This window comes from Homo sapiens, chromosome 1 (genome assembly GCF_000001405.40).
Source record: "Homo sapiens chromosome 1, GRCh38.p14 Primary Assembly".
NCBI lineage: Eukaryota > Metazoa > Chordata > Mammalia > Primates > Hominidae > Homo > Homo sapiens.
In genome coordinates this window covers 204,611,726-204,636,670 of record NC_000001.11, presented here as the reverse complement: position 1 = coordinate 204,636,670, position 24,945 = coordinate 204,611,726, and the positions used below count along the sequence as shown (strand labels likewise).

At 51.4% G+C, this 24,945-nt stretch overlaps 1 protein-coding gene and 1 long non-coding RNA gene across 10 annotated transcripts in view, besides 2 other annotated features; one reads left to right on the top strand and one right to left on the bottom strand.

Moving 5' to 3' along the window:
• LRRN2 (leucine rich repeat neuronal 2) overlaps nt 1-19,501 on the top strand; it is a 68,569-nt gene extending 49,068 nt beyond the window's left edge. For both annotated transcript variants that reach the window (NM_201630.2, NM_006338.3), the window contains one exon: nt 16,453-19,501. In NM_201630.2, the coding sequence (NP_963924.1) occupies nt 16,679-18,820 (2,142 nt within the window). In that variant the 5' untranslated portion in view covers nt 16,453-16,678 and the 3' untranslated portion in view covers nt 18,821-19,501. The remainder of the gene's footprint in view (nt 1-16,452) is intronic.
• LRRN2-AS1 (LRRN2 antisense RNA 1) overlaps nt 6,954-24,945 on the bottom strand; it is a 65,547-nt gene continuing 47,555 nt past the window's right edge. For 7 of the 8 annotated variants that reach the window (XR_007066814.1, XR_007066815.1, XR_007066816.1 and 4 more), the window contains 5 exons: nt 15,458-24,042; nt 14,832-15,314; nt 14,549-14,716; nt 9,295-9,698; nt 6,954-8,575 (listed from right to left, as the gene is read on the bottom strand). This is a non-coding gene — a long non-coding RNA (LRRN2 antisense RNA 1). The remainder of the gene's footprint in view (nt 8,576-9,294; nt 9,699-14,548; nt 14,717-14,831; nt 15,315-15,457; nt 24,043-24,945) is intronic. The other variant, XR_007066819.1, reaches the window with a different exon arrangement.
• Nucleotides 16,254-17,112: an enhancer, noted in NCBI's record as "H3K4me1 hESC enhancer chr1:204588687-204589545 (GRCh37/hg19 assembly coordinates)". NCBI's record gives its function as "activates a minimal SCP1, AML or CMV promoter by ChIP-STARR-seq in naive H9 embryonic stem cells {active_cell/tissue: H9 hESC(naive)}" and the evidence as "EXISTENCE:reporter gene assay evidence [ECO:0000049][PMID:30033119]".
• Nucleotides 17,113-17,972: an enhancer, noted in NCBI's record as "H3K4me1 hESC enhancer chr1:204587827-204588686 (GRCh37/hg19 assembly coordinates)". NCBI's record gives its function as "activates a minimal SCP1, AML or CMV promoter by ChIP-STARR-seq in primed H9 embryonic stem cells {active_cell/tissue: H9 hESC(primed)}" and the evidence as "EXISTENCE:reporter gene assay evidence [ECO:0000049][PMID:30033119]".

Below are 24,945 nucleotides of genomic sequence, written 5' to 3'. Positions count from 1 at the left end.
GTCTCAGCCTCCTGAGTAGCTAGGACTACAGGCATGCACCTTGTAGCCCACTGCCCACAGCAAGACCAGTTGGCCAGCTCTGCTCTGTGCGGATGCCCCTAAGTTTTTCAGATCACTATGTTGCCCAGGCTGGTCTCAAACTCCTGGGCTCAAGCAAACCTCCCGCCTTGGCCTTCCAAAGTATTGGGATTACGGGCACGAGCCACTGTGCCTGGCCAGCATTAGTATATTTTAAAAGATCCCCATGTAATTCTATGGTGCAGCCAGAGTTGAAAAACAGAGATAACGGGATGCAAATGATTGTCATTTTTAAGTCCATGATCATCCTTCTTTTAGTGTGCCCCTCTGTGTGCATGTGAATCCACTTATTTTCATGTTAGCATTATTGGGGGATCTCATTATCCAATGTGTATTTACCAATTACAGAAGCCGCGTCTGTTTCAGGTTCTGTATGCATCACAGCAATGAGGCCATACGCATGTTCTGATGGTGATCAGGGTAGCTATGATGACCAGGATTGTGACAGTGGCTGGAGGAGATGACGATGCTCGTGGAAGGTATTAAGTGAGTGTGGTCATGGCAGCGAGCAGGGGATTCATATGGCAAAGATGGGGCTGGTGACATTAACAGAGATGGCCGGCTGCAGGTGTGCTGACCATAGTGATGGTGGAGGTAAATCTCACGATGGCATTGTGATAATGAGTTGATATTCCTGGTGATGCTGCTGCTGTTGCCTGTCCCTGTGAGGGCGATGTGCCAACAGATGCTCATTCCCTGCAGCGATGCTCGTCCTGGAAGAATGTTGGTTGTTACACGGCAGGAAGGTTGGTCCTTCCATTTGGGATTGTCACTGCTGCAAGGTGCAGCTCCTTCCAAAATTCTGAGACCACCTGAGAACCTTCTACCTTTGCAGCCAAGAAAGAGGCTCAGCAGAGCAGCAGCAGCTCCTTGCTCAGCTGCCCTTTTCCACTGCACTTTAAGACAGAGCTCTGGTGTTAAGTATGAGTGGGTCATTAGGAACATTTATTTAAGATGAACGGTTCTGGGAGCCAGCCGGGTTTGGGATACCAGCCATCTCGTGATCGATAGAGATTTTATTTGCTGCCTGCATGGTTTCCTGTTCCCTTCATGCCTGGTACACTCAAGAGAGGACTGGACAACTGCTGTGGTTCTCTCTCCCTTAAACCCTGCAGCAGGGAGCAGAGGTGAGCAAAGCCCCAGAGTAGTCCTGACCTCTCTCCATGAGCTAGGATGACACCCTCTCAATTGTACTGGGCTGCGGAGAGAGGTTTAAGGATGAGAACAAGGTTGGGGCTGCCAAGACACATTACATTTAAAATATTTATATATTAATATTTACTTATATGTAAATATATATAAGCCCAGAGAATAATGCTGGAAAATACCCTTAAAATAATATTGTCCAACGCTTTTATTTTACAGATGAGAAAACTAGGGTTCAGTAGTCAGCAAATAAGATCCTTGTTGAGAACAACAAAAACATCTTTTATGCATATATCTCTAACAAAGCAGAGTGAACTCACACCTGTGATCTGATCGGATCTTTAGAATGGTCCTGTGAGTAGGCAGGAAACTTCCTGCCCACCTGACCAATAGCTCCTGAATCCCTTCCCAGATTTTTTCCACTATGCAGTGAGCCTAGGTCATATCTGTATAGCACTTCTCAGCTCACCATGCATATTTCACACTCATATTTTCATTTGAGCTGTACGTCTCTGTAAAAAAGGGATAGTACTAGTCTTAGTCCCATTTTTCAGTAGAGAAAACTGAGGCTCATAGAAATAAAGCATCTTGCCCAAGCTTGCACAGTTAGTAAGTAGCAGAGCAGGAACTAGAACTCAGGATGCCTATGTTACTGGATGGCTTAAAACAACATAAACATATTGTCTTGTAGATTTGGAGGCTGGAGGTTCAAAATCAAGGTGTCGGCAGGGCCATCCTCGCTCTGAAACCTGTAGAGGAGGATTCTTTCTTGCCTCTTCCTGCTTTCTGGTGGTGGCCATCAATTGGTGGTGTTCCTTGGCACACAGCTGTAGCACTTCCATCTGTCTCCGTGGCACATGGCACCTTCCTGTGTGCCTCTGTCTTCACATGGCTTTTTTTTCTTATAAGGATACCAGTCATATTGAATTAGGGCCTTCCATAACAGCCTCATCATCAGATGATTACATCTTCAGACCCTATTTCCAAATAAGGTCATGTTTATAGGTACTGGGGGTTAGGACTTCACTATATCTTTTTGAGGAACACACTTCAACCCATAACAGTCCCTGACTTCCAAGCCAAGGGCCTTTTACAACATGCTGTTTGCACAGCGGGCTCCATCCCATTCATTCTCTCCTCCACGTCTTCTATTCCCAAGGACCAGGTGCTCCCCTCCCCTGCAATTCAGGACATAGGGCTGGCTGAGAGCACTTTTCATTTTCTGCTCTTCCCAAATTATTACAAGCTACTAAAGTAAAATCATGAAATATAGGTGGGCTTTTTGTCTTTTTTATTCCCAGACAGTAAAAATCATTAAGGCTTGCTCTTAATTAGTTTAATTTCAAAGCTTCTAAATATTGATTTAACCTACACTCTTTTGTACTTGCCGCAGTCATTGAATTATGCCTGTTATTGATCACAGATGGAAGCATTTCCTTCCACAGGCTTGGGGGCTCTGGGAGCCGCTGGTCCTGCAGCAGGTACACTGGGCTTGGAAGGCGTGGATGGGTGTGGAGGAGAGGAAGCCTCTGCCAGATTGGAAAGGGCGTTCTCTTGAAGAAGGGCTGCCGAGCTTAGGCCAGGGGCCAGTTTCTTTCTCTTGGGTTGGCCCAGGCCCAACGGAGCTTGAATAAGTCAACTGGAAATCTCCTCATTCTATTCCAGGCTTGAGGAAGTGGAAGGAGAGCTGGGCAGCGGGGACTGGAGAGGGTGATGTGGGATCGGGGTTAGAGCACAGGTGTTAGGGCCAGCCAGAAGCAAGTTTGAGTCCTGGCTTTACCAACTGAATGTTCTGGGCTTGGTACCTTACTTCTCACATCTGAGAAGTGGGGCTAGTAATTTCCACATCACGCTCTTACTGTGAGCATTCAACACAATCACTCTGGTGAGGCACCTAGCCCAAAGCCTGGCTACTAATCAGTGCTCAGTCAATGACTACCATTATTATCATTGCCCTCTCACTGGAAAAATAAAGACTGGACTTGGAAGCATACTGTATCTTCTGGCCTCAGCCTCATTACTTGTTTAGGTGTGATCTTGGACAAGTCACTTATCTTCTTTCCACTAAAATGAGGATAATGGCCCCTTTGACTTCAGAGGGCTACCGTGAGAATCACATAGATCGTAGTCCATTTGTGCTGCTATAACAGAATACCACAGAATGGGTAATTCATAAAGAATAGAAATTTATTTCTTACAGTTCTGGAGGCTGGGAAGTCCAAGACAAGGTGCCAGCATCTGGTGAAGGCTGCTGTCTGCTTTCAAGATGGTGCCTCGAATGCTGTTTCCTCACATGGCAGAAGGTAGACAGACCAAAAAAAAAAAAAATTCTCTCTGTCAAGCCCTTTTAAAACAGTAATTTATTTCTTCATGACCTAAACACGTCCCAAAAGGCCCCACCTCCCAACACTGTTGCACTGGGGAATAAGTTTCCAATACATGGATTTTGTGGGATATATTCAGACCATAGCAACATAGGATTGTGAATACAGAAGAATTTTTTTTTTTTTTTGGAGACAGAGTCTCGCTCTGTCGCCCAGGCTGGAGTGCAGTGATGTGGTCTCGACTCACTGCAAGCTCCACCTCCCGGGTTCACACCATTCTCCTGCCTCAGCCTCCCATGTAGCTAGGACTTCAGGCGCCCGCCACCACGCCTGGCTAATTTTTTTTTGTATTTTTAGTAGAGACGGGGTTTTACCGTGTTAGTCAGGATGGTCTCCATCTCCTGACCTTGTGATCCGCCCGCCTCGGCCTCCCAAAGTGCTGGGATTACAGGTGTGGGCCACTGCGCGTGGCGAATTTTTTTTTTTTTTTTTTTGAGACAGAGTCTCACTCTGTCACCCAGGCTGGGGTGCAGCGGCATGATCTCAGCTCACTGCAACCTCCACCCCCTGGGTTCAAGTGATTCTCTTGCCTCAGCCTCCTGAGAAGCTGGGATTACAGGTGCATGCCACCAGGCCCACTAATTTTTGTATTTTTAATTGAGTCGGGGTTTCACCTTGTTGCCAGGCTGGTCTCAAACTCCTAATCTCAAGTGATCTGCCCACCTTGGCCTCCCAAAGTGCTGGGATTACAGGTGTGAGCCACCACACCCGGCCAATATGGAAGAATTTTAATTGCAAGGTGCATTTGATCTGAACAGCCTATTATTATTGATGGCTGTTGTAGCTATTGCCTTTTGTTTGTTTGGGTTTAAGTTTGCTTTTATTGTTAGAGACAGGGTCTTGCTCTGTTGCCAAGGCTGTAGTTCAGTTGTGCAGTCATAGCTCACTGCAGGCTTGAACTCCTGGGCTCAAGCGATTCTCTCACCCCAGCCTCCCAAGTAGCTAGAACTACAGGTATGAGCCACCACACCCACATAGGTGTTTTGTTTGTTTGTTTGTTTTTTGGTAGAGACAGGGTTTCACTGTGTTGGCCAGGCTGGTCTCAAACTCCTGGACTCAAATGAGCCTCCCTTGGCCTCCCAAAGCACTGAGATTACAGGCATGAGCCACTGCTCCCAGCTGGTTACTGCCTTATATGCCTCCTTTGGCTGGCCTCTGCCTGGGTATTGTGTCCAGACCATTCTGCCTCTGGCTTGCTGCTCCAACATCTTCATCACATCACCCACACTCTCAAGACCCACGGGGAGCCACTCACTGCTTGGAACTCACTTCATATGTTTGAATCTTGGGACCTTTGCTCCTAGTGTCTCCTATCTATGCATTACTGGCCTATGGATTCCCAGCAACACTACCCCTGTGAATTTTTCAATGGCTTTATTGAAGTTTAATTTGCATACCATCAAATTCAGCCATTTTTAGTGTACAGTGATTTTTTAGTAAATTCCTCTGAATGTTTGTCTAACTTCCTACATGAGGTAGAATCATGCTGTCTCCCCTAGCTTGTGCCCTGCTGCCCTTGCTCTGTGACAACTTTTATCATCCTCTGGTACACTGGTTTAGTTTTCTTTTTAACCTGTGAATCCCCACCTGCCCTCCTCATAACTTTGTATTTGCAGCCCTCACATACTTACAGTGCCTGGGATAAGGTCAGGGATCTATTTCATGCTCAATGGATAAGAGTTCCCTTGTGGCCAGGACAGAGGAGGTGAGGGGAGTCTTGAAAACCCAACCTAATCTGTCAGGGTATAAGCAGCTCTTCATATATATATATATATATATATATATATATATATATATATATATATAGAACACTCTAGGTATCACTCTTCTTGGTTTGTAGACTTCTAATCTGAGCTGGAGAGGAGGTTAGAGATGAGCTAGCCAGCAATCCTCAAACTTCAGCATGCATCAGAACCACCTGCAGAGCTTGTTCAAACACAGGTGACTAGACTAGGGCCCACCCTCAGAGTTTCTGATTCTGGAGGTCTTGGGTGGGCCAAGGAACTCGCACTTCTAGCAAGTTTCCAGGTGATGCGTAGACTACTGGTCCGGGGACTACAGTATGAGAACCGCTGCTCTAGCCCAACTCCCTCATTTTGCAGATGAGAAACCCAAGACCTAGAGAAGGAAGAAGACACCATCCAAAGTCTGTCCCCAGGCCAGGAGTAGAGCCAGTCCTGTCCCATGCTGCATCTACCAGCCCTGCTTCCCCCATCTGGCTTTGGAGATGGGTAAGGAGTGGAAGGCAGGAAGCAGCCTCTGAGAAACACTGTCCACCGGCCTGCCCTGGCAAGGGGGAGTGCAGAGGGACTGCCCAGGGAGAGGCCTGTGGGACTGGGGAGGGGCACAGGAGAGGTCCTGGGGAAGGGAATGGCCAGGGCATTGGAGGAGGTGGCCAGGACGGACAGGCCATTGTCTTGCGGTTAGTGGGGAGGAAAGACAAACCCGGGCCTCAGCTGCAGCCATTTATCTCCGGGCTGCCTGGACAGCTGACAGGGAGCAGGCAGCGCCCCCGAGACCAGGACTCCTTCCGCGGCGTGACTTATCTAGAGCTTCATCTGGCAAACCCGCTGATGAAATGAGTCTCTTTTTCTCTCCGCCTCATCAATTTTCATTCTGATTTTATTTTCCTTTTCCGTTAGAAGGGGCTTGGCCTTTCTCCATGTTTAACTGGGCTGCTCCCCATTCTCTGCCTCCCTGTCTCCTCAGCCGCCAGAGCCCAGCCCCTCCGACCAGGCCTCACCCACCCCCACCCGACCCTTCCCTGAGGGTCCTTTCCTCAGTACCACTGACACTTGGAGGCAGGAAACCCAAACCTCCTTAACTAAGGCCTCATTCACCTCGAAAGCAGTGGTGCTTCCCTCTGTTCATCCAGGGCCATAAAGCCACTGTCCCCGTGCTCGAGCAGCTTGCAGTCTGAGAGACAGAAGATGAGCATTGTATTTGATGTGGATTTTTATTTCAATTTTTATTTTATGTATAGGGGGTCCATGTGCAGATTTGTTACTGAGGAAAATTGCATGATGCTGGGGTTTGGAGTACGGCTCCTGTCACCCTGGTAGTGAGCATATACCTGATATATAGGTTTTTAACCCCCCCACACACCCTCTAGTAGTCCACAGTGTCTGCTGGTCCTATATTTATGTCCATGTGTGCTCAATACTTAACTCCCACTTATAAATGAGAAGATGTGGTATTTGGTTTTCTGTTCCTACGTGAATTTGCTTAGGACGATGGCCTCCAGCTCCACCTACACTGCTGCAAAGGCCATGTTCTTTTGATGCCTGTGTAGTATTCCATGGTGCATGTATTAGTCTGTTTTCACACTGCTGATAAAGACATATCTGAGACCGGGAAGAAAAAGAGGTTTAATTGGACTTATAGTTCCACATGGCTGGGGAGGCCTCAGAATCATGGCAGGAGGTGAAAGGCACTTCTTACATGGTGGCGGCAAGAGAAAATGAGGAAGATGCAAAAGCAGAAATCCCTGATAAAACCATCAGATCTTGTGAGACTTATTCACTACCACAACAATAGTATGGGGGAAACTGCCCCCATGATTCAAATTATCTCCCTCCCACAACACGCGGGAATTATGGGAGTACAATTCAAGAGGCGATTTGGGTGGGGACACAGCCAAACCATATCAGTGTATATGTAGCACATTTTCTTTGTGGATGTGGATCCTTGAGGGTGGAGGAAGGAGCAAGGGACTGATTATTTTGAGTTGGTGGTAGAGCCTGGTCGTCAGGAAAGACCACATAGGGGTGCAGCATAAACTATGACTTCAGAGATGGAAAGGAATTCCCCAGATATGCAGGTGAGGAAGGGGACTTGTGGCAAGGTCCCTGCATGTGTGAAGGCATGGGACAGGAGAGACTATCACTTGTATTGCTCTTGGGTCTTCCCTCCCCTTCCCCCCGCCCTTGCCTCTGTCCCAGGGATCCACTGGGGCTAAAGGGATGTCCTGGGGCCCAGACTGCTAGAGGAGCCATGCTACAGGGTCTGTTCAGCACCCCCACCTGACTCCTGACGCAGAGAGGTGGAGAAGCTCATGGGTCAGCACTGGGCTTGGCTGCCCATCTGAGGCCTGCAACTGTGGCCAGCATGGAATGTCTATGGGAGGCCATCAGCTGGGACATTTAGAACTCTTCTGGGAGGGGCGCTCTTGACCCTTCTGGAGAGCATGTGGGGAAGCAGAGGAGCTGCTCCCCTAAGCCAGGAGGAGCTGGTGCTGAGTTGTTTATTGGGTGAGAGTTGTGTCCAACACCAATGATCTTTAAATGAACTGAGTCCTAGAGCTGTCCGGAAGACTAGAACTAGGACCCCGGTTGGAGACTGCAGGGAGTGCTTATAGTTGACATCGGACAGGGCAGCTCCGTTAGGAAGGAGTGTCACCTGCACTGGGAAGGTTCCAAGGAAGAGGTTGCCTGCCTTAGAGACCAAGTACCCTGATAGGCCAGCATCAGGCTGGCCTAGTACAAAGATGGTCTCGAAGCGCCCCCAGGGAAATGTGCCTCCAACAAATCGAAGTGGATAAAAAGGGCAGGACACTCTAATGAGCACCGGGCACTCTCTAGACATCTTTTTCAGATTCCCCCTCGCTATGAGGCAGGTCTGTCTCCATCTTGCAGATGAGAATCTCAGTGAGGAGGTTCAGGATCACACAGCCAGTACAGGACTCTGGTGCCGCGCCGTCTCTAAAGCCCACCGTTCAACCACTCGCCTGTGCTCTCAGAGAGGTCGGTGGAACCTGCGGGATTTCTGGAAGGGGAGCCTGAGAGAGCTTCAGAAGGGCGAAGACTGTCATAGGAGCTTGGCAAATCCAGAGGCAAGAACTTGAGTCAGAGAAAAATGCTCTCTTCACCTGGGGGCCAGTGACCAAGGAAGGGCTAAAGACGCCATGTCTGGAGTGGCCCGGGTATTGCCCAGGGAAGACAGGCTCTGGGATGATGTTTGTCTCTTTCCTGTCAGGAAGGAAGGAGGCAGGGGGTCTGAGCCCAGACACTGCCCACCCCATAGGCAATGGAGCCACCTGAGCTCTGAAATAGCCAGCCCCCTCCCTCCCCACTTGCCTTGCCTGCCTTGCTTTTCTTTTCTTCCCTCCCTCCCTCTTTCTTTCTTTCCTTCTCCGGATATTCTCTGAGCTACCACTGTGTCCAGACTGTTGGAAGAACTGGCAACTTGAAGCACAGTTCCTGCCTCAGAGGAGCTCACAGTCTGGTCGGGGAGACAGCAAGCCAGCCAGTTTAGGATGGAGGCACACTAGGGCATCATGGGAGCCCAGGAGATGGGTGCAGGGGGTCAGAAAAGTTTTCCCTGAGGATCAGCAAAAGACTGGCAGCAAGCGGCAGTGAGATGCAGCCTGGAGCTGCCTCCGTGCCCCCAACAGGCTGGCTCGGCTCCCCTGCAGCCTTTTTTGGTGCAGTGCACGCAGACAGCAATGACTCTGTGCTACCTACTGGCACCTTCCACTCCTAATTAAGAAATAATGAGGTAGGCTGCCTTCCAGGCAGCAGAGCTCTAACACTCTCTGCTTGGGCCAGCCAGGAGACCTGGGAAGACAGAGATTCCTGCCTGGGGACAGTCCCTCCCCTCCCAGGCCCAACAAGGGGGGTTTCCTGGAACCCTGACCCCTCTCATTCCAGAGACGAGGGGAGGGCAAGTATGAACAAAGAAGCCTCACCTTTGCCCAGCAGATGCCCTCCAGTCCCTTCCCACCATGACAGCCCTGGAGGTCAGGCGAGCGCTGGCACCGGAATCATGGAACTGGCAAGGGCTGGCGATGGGGTTCGGATCCTGGCTCCTCCACACTCTCGCTGTGGGACCTCAGTCCGGCCCCTTAGCTTCGCGGAGCTTACGTTTCTCATCTGAAAAGTATGTCCCTCACAGAAGGATGGGATGAGGAACATAAAGTGGCTAGCAAATAGAAGTCCTGGTACATGGAAGACACTCAGGAATGCCACATCTTTCCTCTGAGACTTTGCTTTCTGTTAGCATCCCAGTGGCAACAACTAGAGTTGAAGGGACTCATTTTCCCAACAGAGAGATTCTCAGAGTAATGGTTTTCAAGCTTTTATAGCTACAGCCCTAGGCAAAAAAAAAAAGAAAAAGAAAAAAGAAAAAGCCTTGTATCATGTCCCAGTGCACAAATGCGTGTGTATAAAATAGGGGGCAGCATCTCAAAACAATGCTTAGTCTGGCCGCATACAATGCAGTATGATATTTTCTATTCATTTTTTTAATGTAGATCGTGACCCACGTTAAATTGTTTTCATGACCTACTAATGGGTTGTGATTCACAGTTCACGGCAGAGCACCCCTCAGTCCTGCAAGGGAAAGTGCACGGTACTAGGCTCTAGGGACACAAAAATCCGTAACAAACCATCCTTTCCTCGAGGAGCTCTCAGTCTGGTTGGGAAGACAGACTCATGGCCTAACAGTGAGGAAGTTGCCACTGTGGTTTGTTCAGAGAGTCTCGGGGGCAGCTGTGGGAGGAACCACTCTTCTCTAAGGGAAAGCGTCACAGGGGAGGTGGCATTTGGGATGGGTTTTCATGGCTGAAGAGGAGTTGAATAGTTGAAGTTGGGAAAGGGCACGGCAGGCACAGTGAGAGGCCCAAGGTGTGGAAGGAAAAATAGCCAGGGTGTGGTGTGTCTGGGAATGAGAGGCAGTCAGGGGAAGTGTGGCTCTCTCAGGTGAGCAGGAAAGCCCAAAAGAGGCCACCGTACAGGACAAGGCCAGAAGTGAAAAGAGAAGGTAGGTGTGAGCATTTTGGTAGGGGGTGTGAGGTGGGAGAGGGCAGATGAAGAGGGCGGGCATTTCCAGCCTTTGGTGGACGGTGGTGCTGATGGCAATGGGACCAATGCAGCACAGCCAGGCAGTGGGAGGAGATGTTGCATTTAGGACAAGCAGAATGGGAGGAGCCTCTGAGACTGCCGAGTAGAGTGACCCAGGGGATGGATGGTTAGGAGTGCAGGTCTGGGCCCCTCCTTCCTGGCCACCCCCAATCCATCCTCTTGCCTAGTGCTCCAGAACTCTGTGATGAGAAGGCCTAGAGGGCACGGGGGCCAGGAGGTCACCCACATCATCCTCCCTCAAGGCAGCATGGCACTCCCAGGCCCAGGCCATGAGGATGCTGGCCAGAGCTGGGCCCCAAGGCTGAGAGCAATTTTTAGATACGGGAACTCTAGAAAGAGAGAGAAGAATCAGCCTCTCTTCCTGGAGATCACTGGTTAAACATGAGATTCTAAGACGCTATAGCCCACTTTGAAGTAGGGGGAGGAATGAAGTGGATTTAAAGTTCCCTAATGCCAGAGTAACCTAATTCCAAAGACCCTGGTCCCAACTTGTCATGGAAAAGGAAGGGGAATTCTGGGTTTTCAAGATGAAACTGCTTGGCGGCGATAGAAGTCGGGACCGTGGTTAGCTCCAGGTGGGGGCTGGATATTGACTGGGAAGGGGCACATACGTAGGAACCTTCTGGAGTGCTGGAAATGTTTATGTCTTGATTTGGGTGGTGGTTGTACTTGTACCTATGCATGTTGGGATCAGGGACATTTATGTATTCTCCCGTACATATGTTATACCTCAACAATATTTTTTAAGTTTATTACAAAAGTTGAGAGATGAGAAGTATTAGGTATTAGTATTAGTATTAAAATTCATGGCCAAAACCGCAATTACTTTTGCTCCAATCCAATGTATGGTAAGATGAAAGGAGAGGCTGCAATGCTGGGAAGCAACAGAGGGAACTAACAGGCACTTCATGTACCTTCCATCCCGTACTCCTCCCAGCAATTCCAGAAGGGGTGCAGGCATTATCCCCATTCCCAGCTCAGGGATTTGGGGCTCGAAAGGTTAAGTACTTTGCCCAAGGTCACACAGCAAACAGCAGAGCCAGGCTCACGCCCCACCACTCCTCCTTCACATAAGTTATTTATGGAATTCAGACTCTGGAAGAGCAGATAAACGCTGAGGCTGAGGTCTCCTCCAGCTCTGAGGTTCTGGTTGTGTGTGATTAAATGGGAGGTGGAAGTGAGGGGCCAGGCTTACCTCCCAGGAGGAGCTGGAGGCCAGGTATGCAGATGGAGGACTGGCCTTCCTCACCCTCAGCATCCCTCCCACCCAGCGCTTATCTGCTGGTGAGGAGGCCGGAGTTTATCAACGCTACACTCAATTATGCCGCCCATCTCTCTCCGCAGCTTTGTGGGGAGAAGGGTGTCCTGGCACTGAAGCAGCCAAGGCCAGGCAATCGATCACCACCTGCCACCCTCCCTCTGGACCCTCAGCTCCCGGGGGGGGGGGTGGGGGGGGAACCGCCAGGGAGAGGAGGGAGGAGGAGAGGAGAGAGGAGACTCTGCATCCACCAATACCAGGCAGGAGCACTAGGGCTGTGCTGGGGCCGGGGGCCTGAGAAGCAGGGAAGGGAGAAAGTAGTGACAGCGTCTCCAAAACTCTTCCTTCAGACCTTTGCCAAAGGTCTTAGTTTAATCAGGGGCATTGTGGATTAATTCCACAGTTTCCGCTAAATCCACAGAAACAGCCCCGAGAACATAGACCTGACAGGGTTTGCAGCACCAGCCTTTCCAAGAGAGAAACTTGCCCTTGGAGTGGGCAACCAACCCTGCTTCTTGGAATACGGCTCTAGGGCTTTTGTCTCCTGTCCCTGAAGCCCACAGCTGGCCAGCAGTCACTGGCTGCGCAAAAAGCAGCCCCCAGCCCCCATTCAGAAGGCAGGCTGAGGTCTGTGTGCAGCAGCTGGCTCTGTTTGTCCCTGTGGTTCCAGGCCCAGCCACACACACACACAGGAACAGTGTCCTTCCCCACACTGTCCCCCAGGGGGGTTGTTCTAGGCAGGAGTCAAGGAACAGGAGCTGAGGGGCCCAGCAGGGGGCAGGTGCGTGGAGGAGCTGAGGACTCAGGTTTTCTCTGAAGGGATTTGCAACTGAGGCAGCCTTGCCCTCTGCTCCTGTAAAACAGGTGCTGATCCACATTGGCTGGGCTGGTGAGGCAGGATGTAGAGTCAAAGACCCTGGGTTTGAATCCTGACCCCACTGCATAGAAGCTGTGCAACCTCTGATGAATCACCTAACGTTTCTGACTCTCAGTTGCCTCCCTGGCAAAATGGAGCTAAATAATCCCTTCTTGCCTACACACAGGGTTGTTGGGGGGATTAAATGCAATGCGTGTTCTCTACACATTTCACTATAGCAACTCTCAAGCACCTGCTACATGCTCAATCCTACACTTGGTGCTCTGGGGACACAAAAAGCATGTAAGATATGGCCCCTGCCTCAAGAAGCTCGGAATCCAATTGGGGAAAGTATACACGTGACAGTCTGAACTCCTGATCACCCCTGGAGATTACAGATGAAAGACAATTAGCTTTCTCTGCAGCTCCCCGGTAGAAACTGCTAATCAGCCTGCATGAGCGGGCCATGTGCAAGGCAGCCTTAGGTGGTGATGGCAGGTGAGAGGGCAGCTCTGAGCTGCATCCTGGAAAGAGCTGCATGCTCAGCAGTGAGGGGGTGGACTTGTCTGGGCCTTTGCCAAGCCTTGGGGTCAGAGGTGCAGTGTGAACATGAGTCATCAAGTCACTGCCTCTGGATCCCGAGGCCCAGCCCCAGGCTCCCGGCCCAGGAGCCACGACCTCTGCCTCATCCACCCAGCCCAACCAGGGGAGGGAAGGAAGGGGCAGCAGTCTGGGGTGAAGGGGAAAGGCAAGTGCCTGGAGGGTTTCAATGAAGTTTTAAATGGTTCCTTGATCCCCTCAGTGCAGTTGAGCACGGACTCAGCGCTTAGAACCAAGTGTTGATGAAGAAGGGAAACTGGACTCGGGTAGGGTCTAAAGGTCAGGGAGATGCTGGGGCCCAGCTGAAGACCCCTCTCCACCTCCTCCAGCCCTCACCCTTCTCTCCACTTGGGAAATGTCTTGGGCTCTCCTAGTTGTTTCGTGTTTTTGAACCTGCCTCCCCAACTAGCATGGCACTTGCTAACTTATCGAGCCCTAGGAGTCCTAGGAGCCAACTTCTATTGTCCCCTAAGAAGTCCTATAGCTGGAGAACCTCCTGACCCTGAGGGATGACTGGAGCTGGAAGAGAGCTAACATTTGTCCAGTTCTTTCTGTGTGCAACACACTCATTTAACTCCAATGACAATCTCATGTAATACAGAAGGAAATGGTTGCTCAGAGCAGTCAAGTAGCTTTGCCTCAGGTACTTGGGTAGTGAGTGGTAGGGCCGCGATTTGGGTCCTGATCTATTTGCCGGTAGGTCTGCTCTCTCACAGCAGGTCTAGGTGGCAGTCAGGGGTCTCTGGTATGTAAGTGTGGCAGGATTACTGGCCATAGATCCAGTTCCACAACAGGGACCTCTCGGAGACTCAGCTTGTTCCCTCCTTCCTTTCCACCCACCTAGACCACCACAAAATTCCCTCCCTGCTTCCTGACCCCCATACACTGGCTTGGGTAGCTGGGTTCCCCTTGCACAGGTATGCAGGCATGCATGCATGTGTACACATGTGTTTGTTCACACTGAGTTTTACGTGTCGGTGCACACACACCCCTATCAAAACCTCTGTGCCTTTGAAGTCGCGGTTGTTTTTCCCACCTTCAGAAATAGCTGCAGAGGAAAGTGGGAAGTAGCCAAATGTAAATAGGCTTGCTGTGTTCCTGCTCAGGGAACGGGACCCTGCCTCCAGCTGCTCCCCTCCCAAGCCCTAGCATCCTGGAAGCAGGATGAGGGAGGTGAAGAGCCCCTCTGGCCCGCTGAGAGGCACCTGCCTGGATGGTGGCAGGAGACATAGCTCCAAGCTTTCTGCAGCTGCCTGGTAAGGAGTCATCACCCCAGGGGACGAGAACAGGCACAGGGCCTGCAGCTGCAGCATTCAGTGCATCCCAGACCCTCCAGAGGCCCAGGGCAGGGTCAGATCAGACAGACCTGGCAGCACAGATGTGAAGTGTAAACGGCACACAGCCCCCTGGACTTGGGTTGATTCTTGTATCTTGCTGCTCACCAGCTATGTGACTTGAGCCAAGTTCTTTAACCTCTTCAGGACCTCAGTCTCTTAATCTGCAAACTGGAGGTATTAGTGCTTATCTCATGTACCTGTTATGAGAGTCATATGAAAAAAGACATTCAGAGTCTTCAAAGAGTCCTGAGCAATGGTAGGTGCTCAGTAAGTGTTTGTGCATTTCCTTGACACTTGTAGCTAAAAACTTACCTGGAATCAGACTTCCACTCAGGAGTCAGACCAGGCTCAAGAAGGCAACACAGTCTGGCCCCTTTTTGTTTCCATCTTTGGTTCTAGGCCAAGGCTGGACTTGCCTCATGGCCCTGGCATCTGAGAGAGAAACTGGATAGGTTCCTCATGCTCAGGATGGAGGAAACAGCAGTGGCTTGCATTGTTGATTGCAGGGGTGATGTCTAATCTCCTGAAGAAAGGAACTCTGGAGTCACAGAGATTGATTCATACAATCAACACACACTGGGCACCCATCCCGTACTACAGGCACAAGAGGCAAGACAGGTCTCTAGTTAGAGACGTTTTCCCACGGTGTGGTCAGAACTGTGACAGTAGGAAGCATGAGTACTGCAAGAGCATAAAGCCAGCCCCTTAGTCAGCCAGGTGGGGAGGTTTTGGAGAAGACTTCTGCAGGTGGTGACTGAACTTAAAGTTGAGCGTTGAAGAACAAGTAGGAGTTGTCTGGAAGACAATGAGGAGGAGACATCAGAAGGGGTGGCATGTCACGGTAACCTCAACCCAAAAGGTTTGTGTGCAGCGGGTAAGTGGGGTGGTGACAAGAGAAGCCAGGTGAAGGGGCCGGGCCAGGTCACAGAAGGTCTTACCTGCACAGCTGAGGAGCTCAGACCCAGGCTTCTTAACTCCACTGCCTCCTCCTGGGCAACACTGCCAGGCTGTTGGGAAAGGAGAAACACTCCTGCCTCCAGGGTGGGGAAGTTGGCAAACACCAAAGCAATATCCCCACCCAGAAGATCCTGGGCAGCAGAACACCCCAGCCTGCCTGGATGTGTCAGGTCTGCTGCCTTTCACCTCTAGGGTCCTGGGGAGCCCATCCCAGATTTTAGAAGCTGTACTTATTTCCACCAACCCTCACCCACCTCCCACCTACACTGCCAGAGGAACTTCTGGAAACTTATCATTTTATCTTCCATTTACCCAGTGAGCCAAGGAGGCTGGGAGGAAAGAGGTAAGAAAGGTTAGAGAACCTACCTCACATCTCTCTGGGCTCAGAAGGACTCTGAAGATAACAATAATTTCAGCCCATCCACTCTCCTTCCCTCCCAAACACACATGTGCATGTACACACACACATACACACACATACACCTTCCTCTCCTTCACTGAAGACTCACAGTCACTCACTCTGTGAGCAGGTCATAGAAAAGGACACTAAAGCCTTAAGGACAGGCCTGGCCATTACCTCTGCAGCTCCTTTGGCTTGTTGAGTCAAAAAACATGGGAGGGGCCAGGCACGGTGACTCACACCTGTAATCCCAGCATTTTGGGAGACCGAGGTGAGCAGATCACTTGAGGTCAGGAGTTCGAGACCAGCCTGGCCAACATGGAGAAACCCCCATCTCTACTAAAAATACAAAAATTAGCCAGGAGTGGTGGCAGGTGCCTGTAATCCCAGCTACTCAGGTGGCTGAGCCAGGAGAATCGCTTGAATCCAGGAGGCGGAGGATGCAGTCAGCTGAGTGCACCGCTGCACTCCAGCCTGGGTGACAGAATGAGACTCTGTCTCAAACAAACAAACACGGGAGGAGGGGTAGATACTGCTTCTCTGCAACCTCCTTAACTCTGCATCCTCTTCTTCCAGGGCTGCCCCTGATGGGGCCTGGCAATGACTGAGCAGGCCCAGCCCCAGAGGACAAGGAAGAGAAGGCATATTGAGGAGGGCAAGAAGTGACGCCCGGTGTAGAATGACTGCCCTGGGAGGGTGGTTCCTTGGGCCCTGGCAGGGTTGCTGACCCTTACCCTGCAAAACACAAAGAGCAGGACTCCAGACTCTTCTTGTGAATGGTCCCCTGCCCTGCAGCTCCACCATGAGGCTTCTCGTGGCCCCACTCTTGCTAGCTTGGGTGGCTGGTGCCACTGCCGCTGTGCCCGTGGTACCCTGGCATGTTCCCTGCCCCCCTCAGTGTGCCTGCCAGATCCGGCCCTGGTATACGCCCCGCTCGTCCTACCGCGAGGCTACCACTGTGGACTGCAATGACCTATTCCTGACGGCAGTCCCCCCGGCACTCCCCGCAGGCACACAGACCCTGCTCCTGCAGAGCAACAGCATTGTCCGTGTGGACCAGAGTGAGCTGGGCTACCTGGCCAATCTCACAGAGCTGGACCTGTCCCAGAACAGCTTTTCGGATGCCCGAGACTGTGATTTCCATGCCCTGCCCCAGCTGCTGAGCCTGCACCTAGAGGAGAACCAGCTGACCCGGCTGGAGGACCACAGCTTTGCAGGGCTGGCCAGCCTACAGGAACTCTATCTCAACCACAACCAGCTCTACCGCATCGCCCCCAGGGCCTTTTCTGGCCTCAGCAACTTGCTGCGGCTGCACCTCAACTCCAACCTCCTGAGGGCCATTGACAGCCGCTGGTTTGAAATGCTGCCCAACTTGGAGATACTCATGATTGGCGGCAACAAGGTAGATGCCATCCTGGACATGAACTTCCGGCCCCTGGCCAACCTGCGTAGCCTGGTGCTAGCAGGCATGAACCTGCGGGAGATCTCCGACTATGCCCTGGAGGGGCTGCAAAGCCTGGAGAGCCTCTCCTTCTATGACAACCAGCTGGCCCGGGTGCCCAGGCGGGCACTGGAACAGGTGCCCGGGCTCAAGTTCCTAGACCTCAACAAGAACCCGCTCCAGCGGGTAGGGCCGGGGGACTTTGCCAACATGCTGCACCTTAAGGAGCTGGGACTGAACAACATGGAGGAGCTGGTCTCCATCGACAAGTTTGCCCTGGTGAACCTCCCCGAGCTGACCAAGCTGGACATCACCAATAACCCACGGCTGTCCTTCATCCACCCCCGCGCCTTCCACCACCTGCCCCAGATGGAGACCCTCATGCTCAACAACAACGCTCTCAGTGCCTTGCACCAGCAGACGGTGGAGTCCCTGCCCAACCTGCAGGAGGTAGGTCTCCACGGCAACCCCATCCGCTGTGACTGTGTCATCCGCTGGGCCAATGCCACGGGCACCCGTGTCCGCTTCATCGAGCCGCAATCCACCCTGTGTGCGGAGCCTCCGGACCTCCAGCGCCTCCCGGTCCGTGAGGTGCCCTTCCGGGAGATGACGGACCACTGTTTGCCCCTCATCTCCCCACGAAGCTTCCCCCCAAGCCTCCAGGTAGCCAGTGGAGAGAGCATGGTGCTGCATTGCCGGGCACTGGCCGAACCCGAACCCGAGATCTACTGGGTCACTCCAGCTGGGCTTCGACTGACACCTGCCCATGCAGGCAGGAGGTACCGGGTGTACCCCGAGGGGACCCTGGAGCTGCGGAGGGTGACAGCAGAAGAGGCAGGGCTATACACCTGTGTGGCCCAGAACCTGGTGGGGGCTGACACTAAGACGGTTAGTGTGGTTGTGGGCCGTGCTCTCCTCCAGCCAGGCAGGGACGAAGGACAGGGGCTGGAGCTCCGGGTGCAGGAGACCCACCCCTATCACATCCTGCTATCTTGGGTCACCCCACCCAACACAGTGTCCACCAACCTCACCTGGTCCAGTGCCTCCTCCCTCCGGGGCCAGGGGGCCACAGCTCTGGCCCGCCTGCCTCGGGGAACCCACAGCTACAACATTACCCGCCTCCTTCAGGCCACGGAGTACTGGGCCTGCCTGCAAGTGGCCTTTGCTGATGCCCACACCCAGTTGGCTTGTGTATGGGCCAGGACCAAAGAGGCCACTTCTTGCCACAGAGCCTTAGGGGACCGTCCTGGGCTCATTGCCATCCTGGCTCTCGCTGTCCTTCTCCTGGCAGCTGGGCTAGCGGCCCACCTTGGCACAGGCCAACCCAGGAAGGGTGTGGGTGGGAGGCGGCCTCTCCCTCCAGCCTGGGCTTTCTGGGGCTGGAGTGCCCCTTCTGTCCGGGTTGTGTCTGCTCCCCTCGTCCTGCCCTGGAATCCAGGGAGGAAGCTGCCCAGATCCTCAGAAGGGGAGACACTGTTGCCACCATTGTCTCAAAATTCTTGAAGCTCAGCCTGTTCTCAGCAGTAGAGAAATCACTAGGACTACTTTTTACCAAAAGAGAAGCAGTCTGGGCCAGATGCCCTGCCAGGAAAGGGACATGGACCCACGTGCTTGAGGCCTGGCAGCTGGGCCAAGACAGATGGGGCTTTGTGGCCCTGGGGGTGCTTCTGCAGCCTCGAAAAAGTTGCCCTTACCTCCTAGGGTCACCTCTGCTGCCATTCTGAGGAACATCTCCAAGGAACAGGAGGGACTTTGGCTAGAGCCTCCTGCCTCCCCATCTTCTCTCTGCCCAGAGGCTCCTGGGCCTGGCTTGGCTGTCCCCTACCTGTGTCCCCGGGCTGCACCCCTTCCTCTTCTCTTTCTCTGTACAGTCTCAGTTGCTTGCTCTTGTGCCTCCTGGGCAAGGGCTGAAGGAGGCCACTCCATCTCACCTCGGGGGGCTGCCCTCAATGTGGGAGTGACCCCAGCCAGATCTGAAGGACATTTGGGAGAGGGATGCCCAGGAACGCCTCATCTCAGCAGCCTGGGCTCGGCATTCCGAAGCTGACTTTCTATAGGCAATTTTGTACCTTTGTGGAGAAATGTGTCACCTCCCCCAACCCGATTCACTCTTTTCTCCTGTTTTGTAAAAAATAAAAATAAATAATAACAATAATACGGGGGAAAGGAACGAAAGGAAAATAATCCTCTGAGTATTGAGTGTGGTTAAGGAGCTCTGCTCTGGACTCTCCTCAGAGCCTGGAGGGTGATGGGCATGGGGGCCAGCTGGGATATGAGAAGAGGGACAAGAAAAGGGATAGAGTGAAAGAGGGGACAGTTTTTCCTTTTCGGTTTGAATTCTGGCCCCTGGGCCTGCTTCTGGCCCCCAAGAGTCTCTGTGGCTGTGACAACGACCAGAGTGAGGAAGGGAGGGAGGCAGAGCGCAGGAGGCAAGGAGAGGGGTGGGAGAGAACCATGGAGACGAACCTGAGATGGGGAGAGCGGAAATTTCCATCACCAAATGCCGTCACCCCTTCTCCTTCTCTGATAAGCAATTAACATGCCAGAGCATAGGAAGCACTTCCCAGCCTATTTCTAATTAAACAAACCCAAGAGGCAGAGTCATGCAGAGAGTTGCAAATCATCAAGACAGCAAGAACTTTGGCTCACTAGGGCAGGAGCAGGGCATGGGGTGATAGAGGATTTAGGGAGGGGAGGGCTATGGGATAAGGAAATTACTGCATTCTATCTGTCCATTTCATTTTGGTATAATTTGCAATGAGCATGGTTTGCTTTTTTAGTTTTTTTGTTTTTAAACTGATTGAGTTCTTAGGACTACATGTGAAGAGGAACATCTGTTGGGAAGCCAACAGAGCCAAGGGCAGAGGGGCCACTGTGGACCCATCAAGGGGCTGTGCCAGAGCCAGAGGCCACTGAGCCACCACTCTCCGTTTCTGAGATAGGCTGGGAAGGGAATGGGTTTCCTGAGACTGACAGAAAGCAATGCACATTTGGAGGGTCCCCCTGTGTTACAGAGCACATTTGGCAGACTTGTTGGAAGCAGATCCTAAGCCACCATCAAGAGTGCAAATGTATACATGGGCGGAAGCCAGACCAGGGACAGAGCATCAGGCCCCATGGACCTGGAGCACTCACCTAAGCGAGGGTAGTGTCCCTCTCTCAGGAAGCTCAAAGACAGCAGGCTCTGCGAAGACCATCAGCAAACAGCCACGGTAGGAGCCTTCTTTTTGGCCGAGGTCCTCACTCAAGGCTACAGCAGTCACCTGTGGGGCTTGTTAAACACAGATGGCTGGTCCCGCCCCCAGCGTTTCCCATCTGCTAGAGCTGGATAACAACTGAGAACCTGGATGTCTAACCAGTTTTCAGGTGACACTGATGCTGCTAGACTGAGGACAACACTTTGAGAACCACTGGGCGTAGGCCTGCAGTAGCTGGGATTTTGCACTCCTTCTGCTCTAGGCCTCAGCTTTTTCATAGACAGTGTTGTGGCTTATGGCTCCAGAAGAGAGCTGGGAAGGGGCTGGAGGATGGTCCCTCCTCCCCACTCTTCTGACGGGTTGCTCAGCCCCCATTTCAATGACACGCTGTCCTGAGGGCAGCAGCTCCTTTCACAAGTGTTTTTCTGCATGGCCATGTTATATATTCTTTAGGGGAGGGGATGGCAGAGATGCTTTCTACATCTACACACATGCTCCCCTTTCCCTGCGGCACCCTGGCAGACACTCCTAGCACCCCACAGGGTTCTCTGCTATTGAGCTTTGGGATCATCACAGCCATGTTCTAGGCAGCCCTGCCAATGGACTGGAGCTGGCCTGTGCAATTTAGCCTATTCTCCATCCTCCAGGATCCAGAAGCTCTGTAGGGAGGAGGTGGGACAGAGTCTGTGCTGATCATAGAAAACTGGAGTCAGAAATCGACGCCTCTCCTTTCCTCCCAGAAGATCCACAGTGCTGCCTTTCTTCTCTGGCCCACGACACATGGACAATCAAGGTGTTCCCTTAAATAAGCTCCCGAGCCCTGTAAGAGCCTGTGGAGCCCTGTAACACCCTCCCATCATCACCTCCACTGCCACCCCAGAACTTACCGAAGAGCCCCTCGTCAGTCAATAGCTACCAAAACAGGGACCACTTGCAGATCCAGAAGTCCCAAGGCTTTAGATCCCTCAGGCTGAAAAGACACGTACATGTGCCTGCAGTTGGAAGGTAGAAAGAGGGAGTGTTCCCAGCCCCAGAGGACCATTTGCCTGCTCTGATCTCTTTGCTACCCCCATTTCCACCAGACTCCTCAGTTACAGAATGATTGCAAGCTGTGAACCCCTGGGGAAAGGCAGAAATCATCCAACCCAGAGGATGTAGCTCTGCCTCCCAGATGCCATGTGCCTGTACTTGACGCACTGTGGCATCTCAGCTGCCATGGGGCTCAGAGCTGCTCAAGTCCTTGAATGTGAATGCTTTCTTCTCAGAAGAAAATGTCAGTTATGGGGACTTAATCTGTGTCTCACCTGAATCCCCAGGTCCTGGACTGTTAGGCTACAGCAGAGAAGTTAGGTGAGGTGGGGAAAGGAAAGTAGCTCATGGCATCTCTTCTGTAAAGAGAGATGACACCGCAGGGGCACTCCCCAGTTGGAGAGAGTGAGGACAAGGCACTCGGTGGGTTGCTGTGTCCTGGAATAGCCAGAAATGGAGCAGCTGAACATGAGCAGCCCCTCCCCTGGTACAGAGCTGGACATGTGGCTCTGGTGTGTTTCGAGCAGGAGGAAGGACAGTGGGACTATCCCCTGCCCTCCTCTGGCTCTATGTGTCCATTAACACAGCCTAACAGGTAACATCTGAAGTCTTAGCTTCAACACTAGACCAGGCATGTGGGCAACTAAATGTACTGGGTTTAAAACAAAACAGCTATTAAGCCTGGTGTCTTCTGTACATTTCAGATTGCTTTTTTTTCTTTTAATCCTAAATAGGAAATAATACTTACAGCCAGGAGTGGTGGCTCATGCCTGTAATCCCAGCACTTTGGGAGGCCGAGGGGGGGTGGATCACCTGAGGTCAGGAGTTCGAGACCAGCCTGGCAATATGGTGAAACCCCATCTCTAGTAAAAATACAAAAAAATTAGCCGGGCGTGGTGGCAGGCACCTGTAATCCCAGCTACTCGGGAGGCTGAGCCAGGAGAATCGCTGGAACCTGGGAGGCGGAGGTTACAGTGAGCCGAGACTGTGCCACTGCACTCCAGCCTGGGCAACACAGCAAGACTGCTTCTCAAAAAAGAAAGAAGAAAGAAAGAAAATGATACTTACTTCTGTTTAAGCTGATGGCTTATCATTTTTTTCTATTGAAATGATTTCAAAACCTAACCCAATTTGTTGAGTGTATTAGTTTTCCCTCCCTAGTGCACTAGCAAATTCAATCCTGCCTTCTGTGTCCGCATGCATGGCTCAGATAGGTCACAGAGCAGAACTGGGCCCAGAGACAGTTCTGTGGCTCACCACTGCAGCCTTCCCGCCAGCCTGCCATGGGTCCATTCATCAACATGTCTGGTGTGGCCGCTCAGCTAGCTACAAACCACCCAAATACACTATCTTGCAGCCTGTATTTCTGCATCTCATCTGTAGGGTTATCAAGACAGACTTTGTGAGAGGCTGAGCTGAGATGAGGATGTAATGAGTGTGTAGCATTCCTGGGAACCATCAGTCTAATCACCGTATCACAGAAGTAGAGAAGAACGGCTGGTCTAGTGTAGGGGACCAGTTGGGATTCTCCTGATCTTAGCATTGAAAGTCCCATGTTTCAGGAACTCTCTCTGTCCTGGGGAAACTGGGATGGTTGGTCACCTTGTCTAGTGAACTCTAAGTCTACCCAAGCCATCTTCCTCCCTCCCTTGCAATCAACAAATATTTAGTAAAGAGGACCATGCGACAGGTGCTGTTCTATGAACTAAGGATACAAACAAAAGTCCCAGAGGCTGGAGACCTTGCATTTTAGTAAGGGGAGAAAGCTAATGAACAGGAGAAGTAAGTAAAAATATGTAATATGTTGAATGGGGATGAGTATTAAGGAGAAAAAAATGTCAAGAAAGATAAGTGGGGCCTTGATAGGGTGGCCATAAAAGGCCTCACTGAGAAGGTAACATTTCAGCAAAGACATGGGGGAGTGAACTAAGCAGTTGTCTGGAGGAAGAGTGATCCAGGCAGAGAGAATGGCAAGGGTGAAGGCCAAGAGCAAGGAGGCTAGCGTGCCCCGAGCAAGAGGGGGTGGAGGAAAAATACCCATGAGACCTGCTGTCAGAGAAGCAGCAGGTGGTGGTGTTGGGCCCTGTAGACCACTGGAAGGACTGGCTTTTCCTTTCAGTAAGAAGGGGAGCCCCTGGAGAGTTCTGAGCAGACATGGCATGATTTGACTTAAAGGGAACCCTCTGGTCGCTAGACTGAGAACAGAGCATGGGAGTCTGGGGTGGGCAAGTGCAGAAGTGAAGAGGCCAGATAAGAGGCTACCAGGATTGTCACCTCGGTTAAATAATTTCCTCTAGAATTTTGCCAGGATGGACACTAAATGCACCTTTGTACTTTCTAAATCTATCCTTTATCCTGTTTTTGAAAATTGAAGCCACATTTGCTCTTTTGCAGTCTTCTGACTCCTCTCCGTTTCCCCATGATTCTTCAAAGTACTTATGCAAAGTAGTTCATGTAGATCAAGCCTCCGCCATCACATTTGTAAGCTCCATCAGTGCCCTGCAGTGAGAATGACACTCACTTAAGGTGGTGAGGAATGATCTTGATTGGCCTTCAACTCCATCTTAATTGTGTTTGTTGTTGAAGCACATCATTCCAAGGGAGATAACAGTGACACAGGCAAGTCACTATCCTGCTCTTCCATCAGCATCAACAACACTTTGACAGGTCCAGGCATGACGTCTGCCTTCCTTCTTGATGATTTTACCCAAAGAACTCTTGTGTGTTCTTCACAGGTTTCACAAGTGTCAGAGCAACCTGTCCTTTAACCCATCCAGTATATTCTTACCCATTTGCACTATTCTTTTGCAGTTACCCTTTGTTTAAGAACATCTCCTATATTTTGTAGAATGGCAATAATGCTAATATTGATGAAGCACTTACTACATGCAAGGCACTGTAGTAGGAATTTCACAGGTGCCATTTCATTTCATTCACAGTTACCTTATCAAGTGGGTACAATCATCCCCATTTTACAGATTTAGATATTAGAGCTCAGAAAAGTTAAATGATTCATCCATCCAAGGTTGCACAGCTAGTAGGAGGCAGACCCAGAATTCAAATGCTGTCTGATTCCAAAGGCCCTGTTTTCACCCCTCTACCCTATCGTATTCAAATTTATATGCTTTCGGCACGGTGCAGTGGCTCACGCCTATAATCCCAGCACTTTTGGAGGCTGAGGCAGGCAGATCACCTGAGGTCAGGAGTTCGAGACCAGCCTGGCCAACAAGACAAAACCTCATCTCTACTAAAATACAAAAATTAGCTGGGCTTGGTGGCAGGTGCCTGTAATCCCAGCTACATGGGAGACTGAGGTAGGAGAATCACTTGAACTTGTGGAGGTGGAGGTTGCAGTGAGCTGAGATTGAGCCACTGCACTCCAGCCTGGGTGATAGAGCAAGA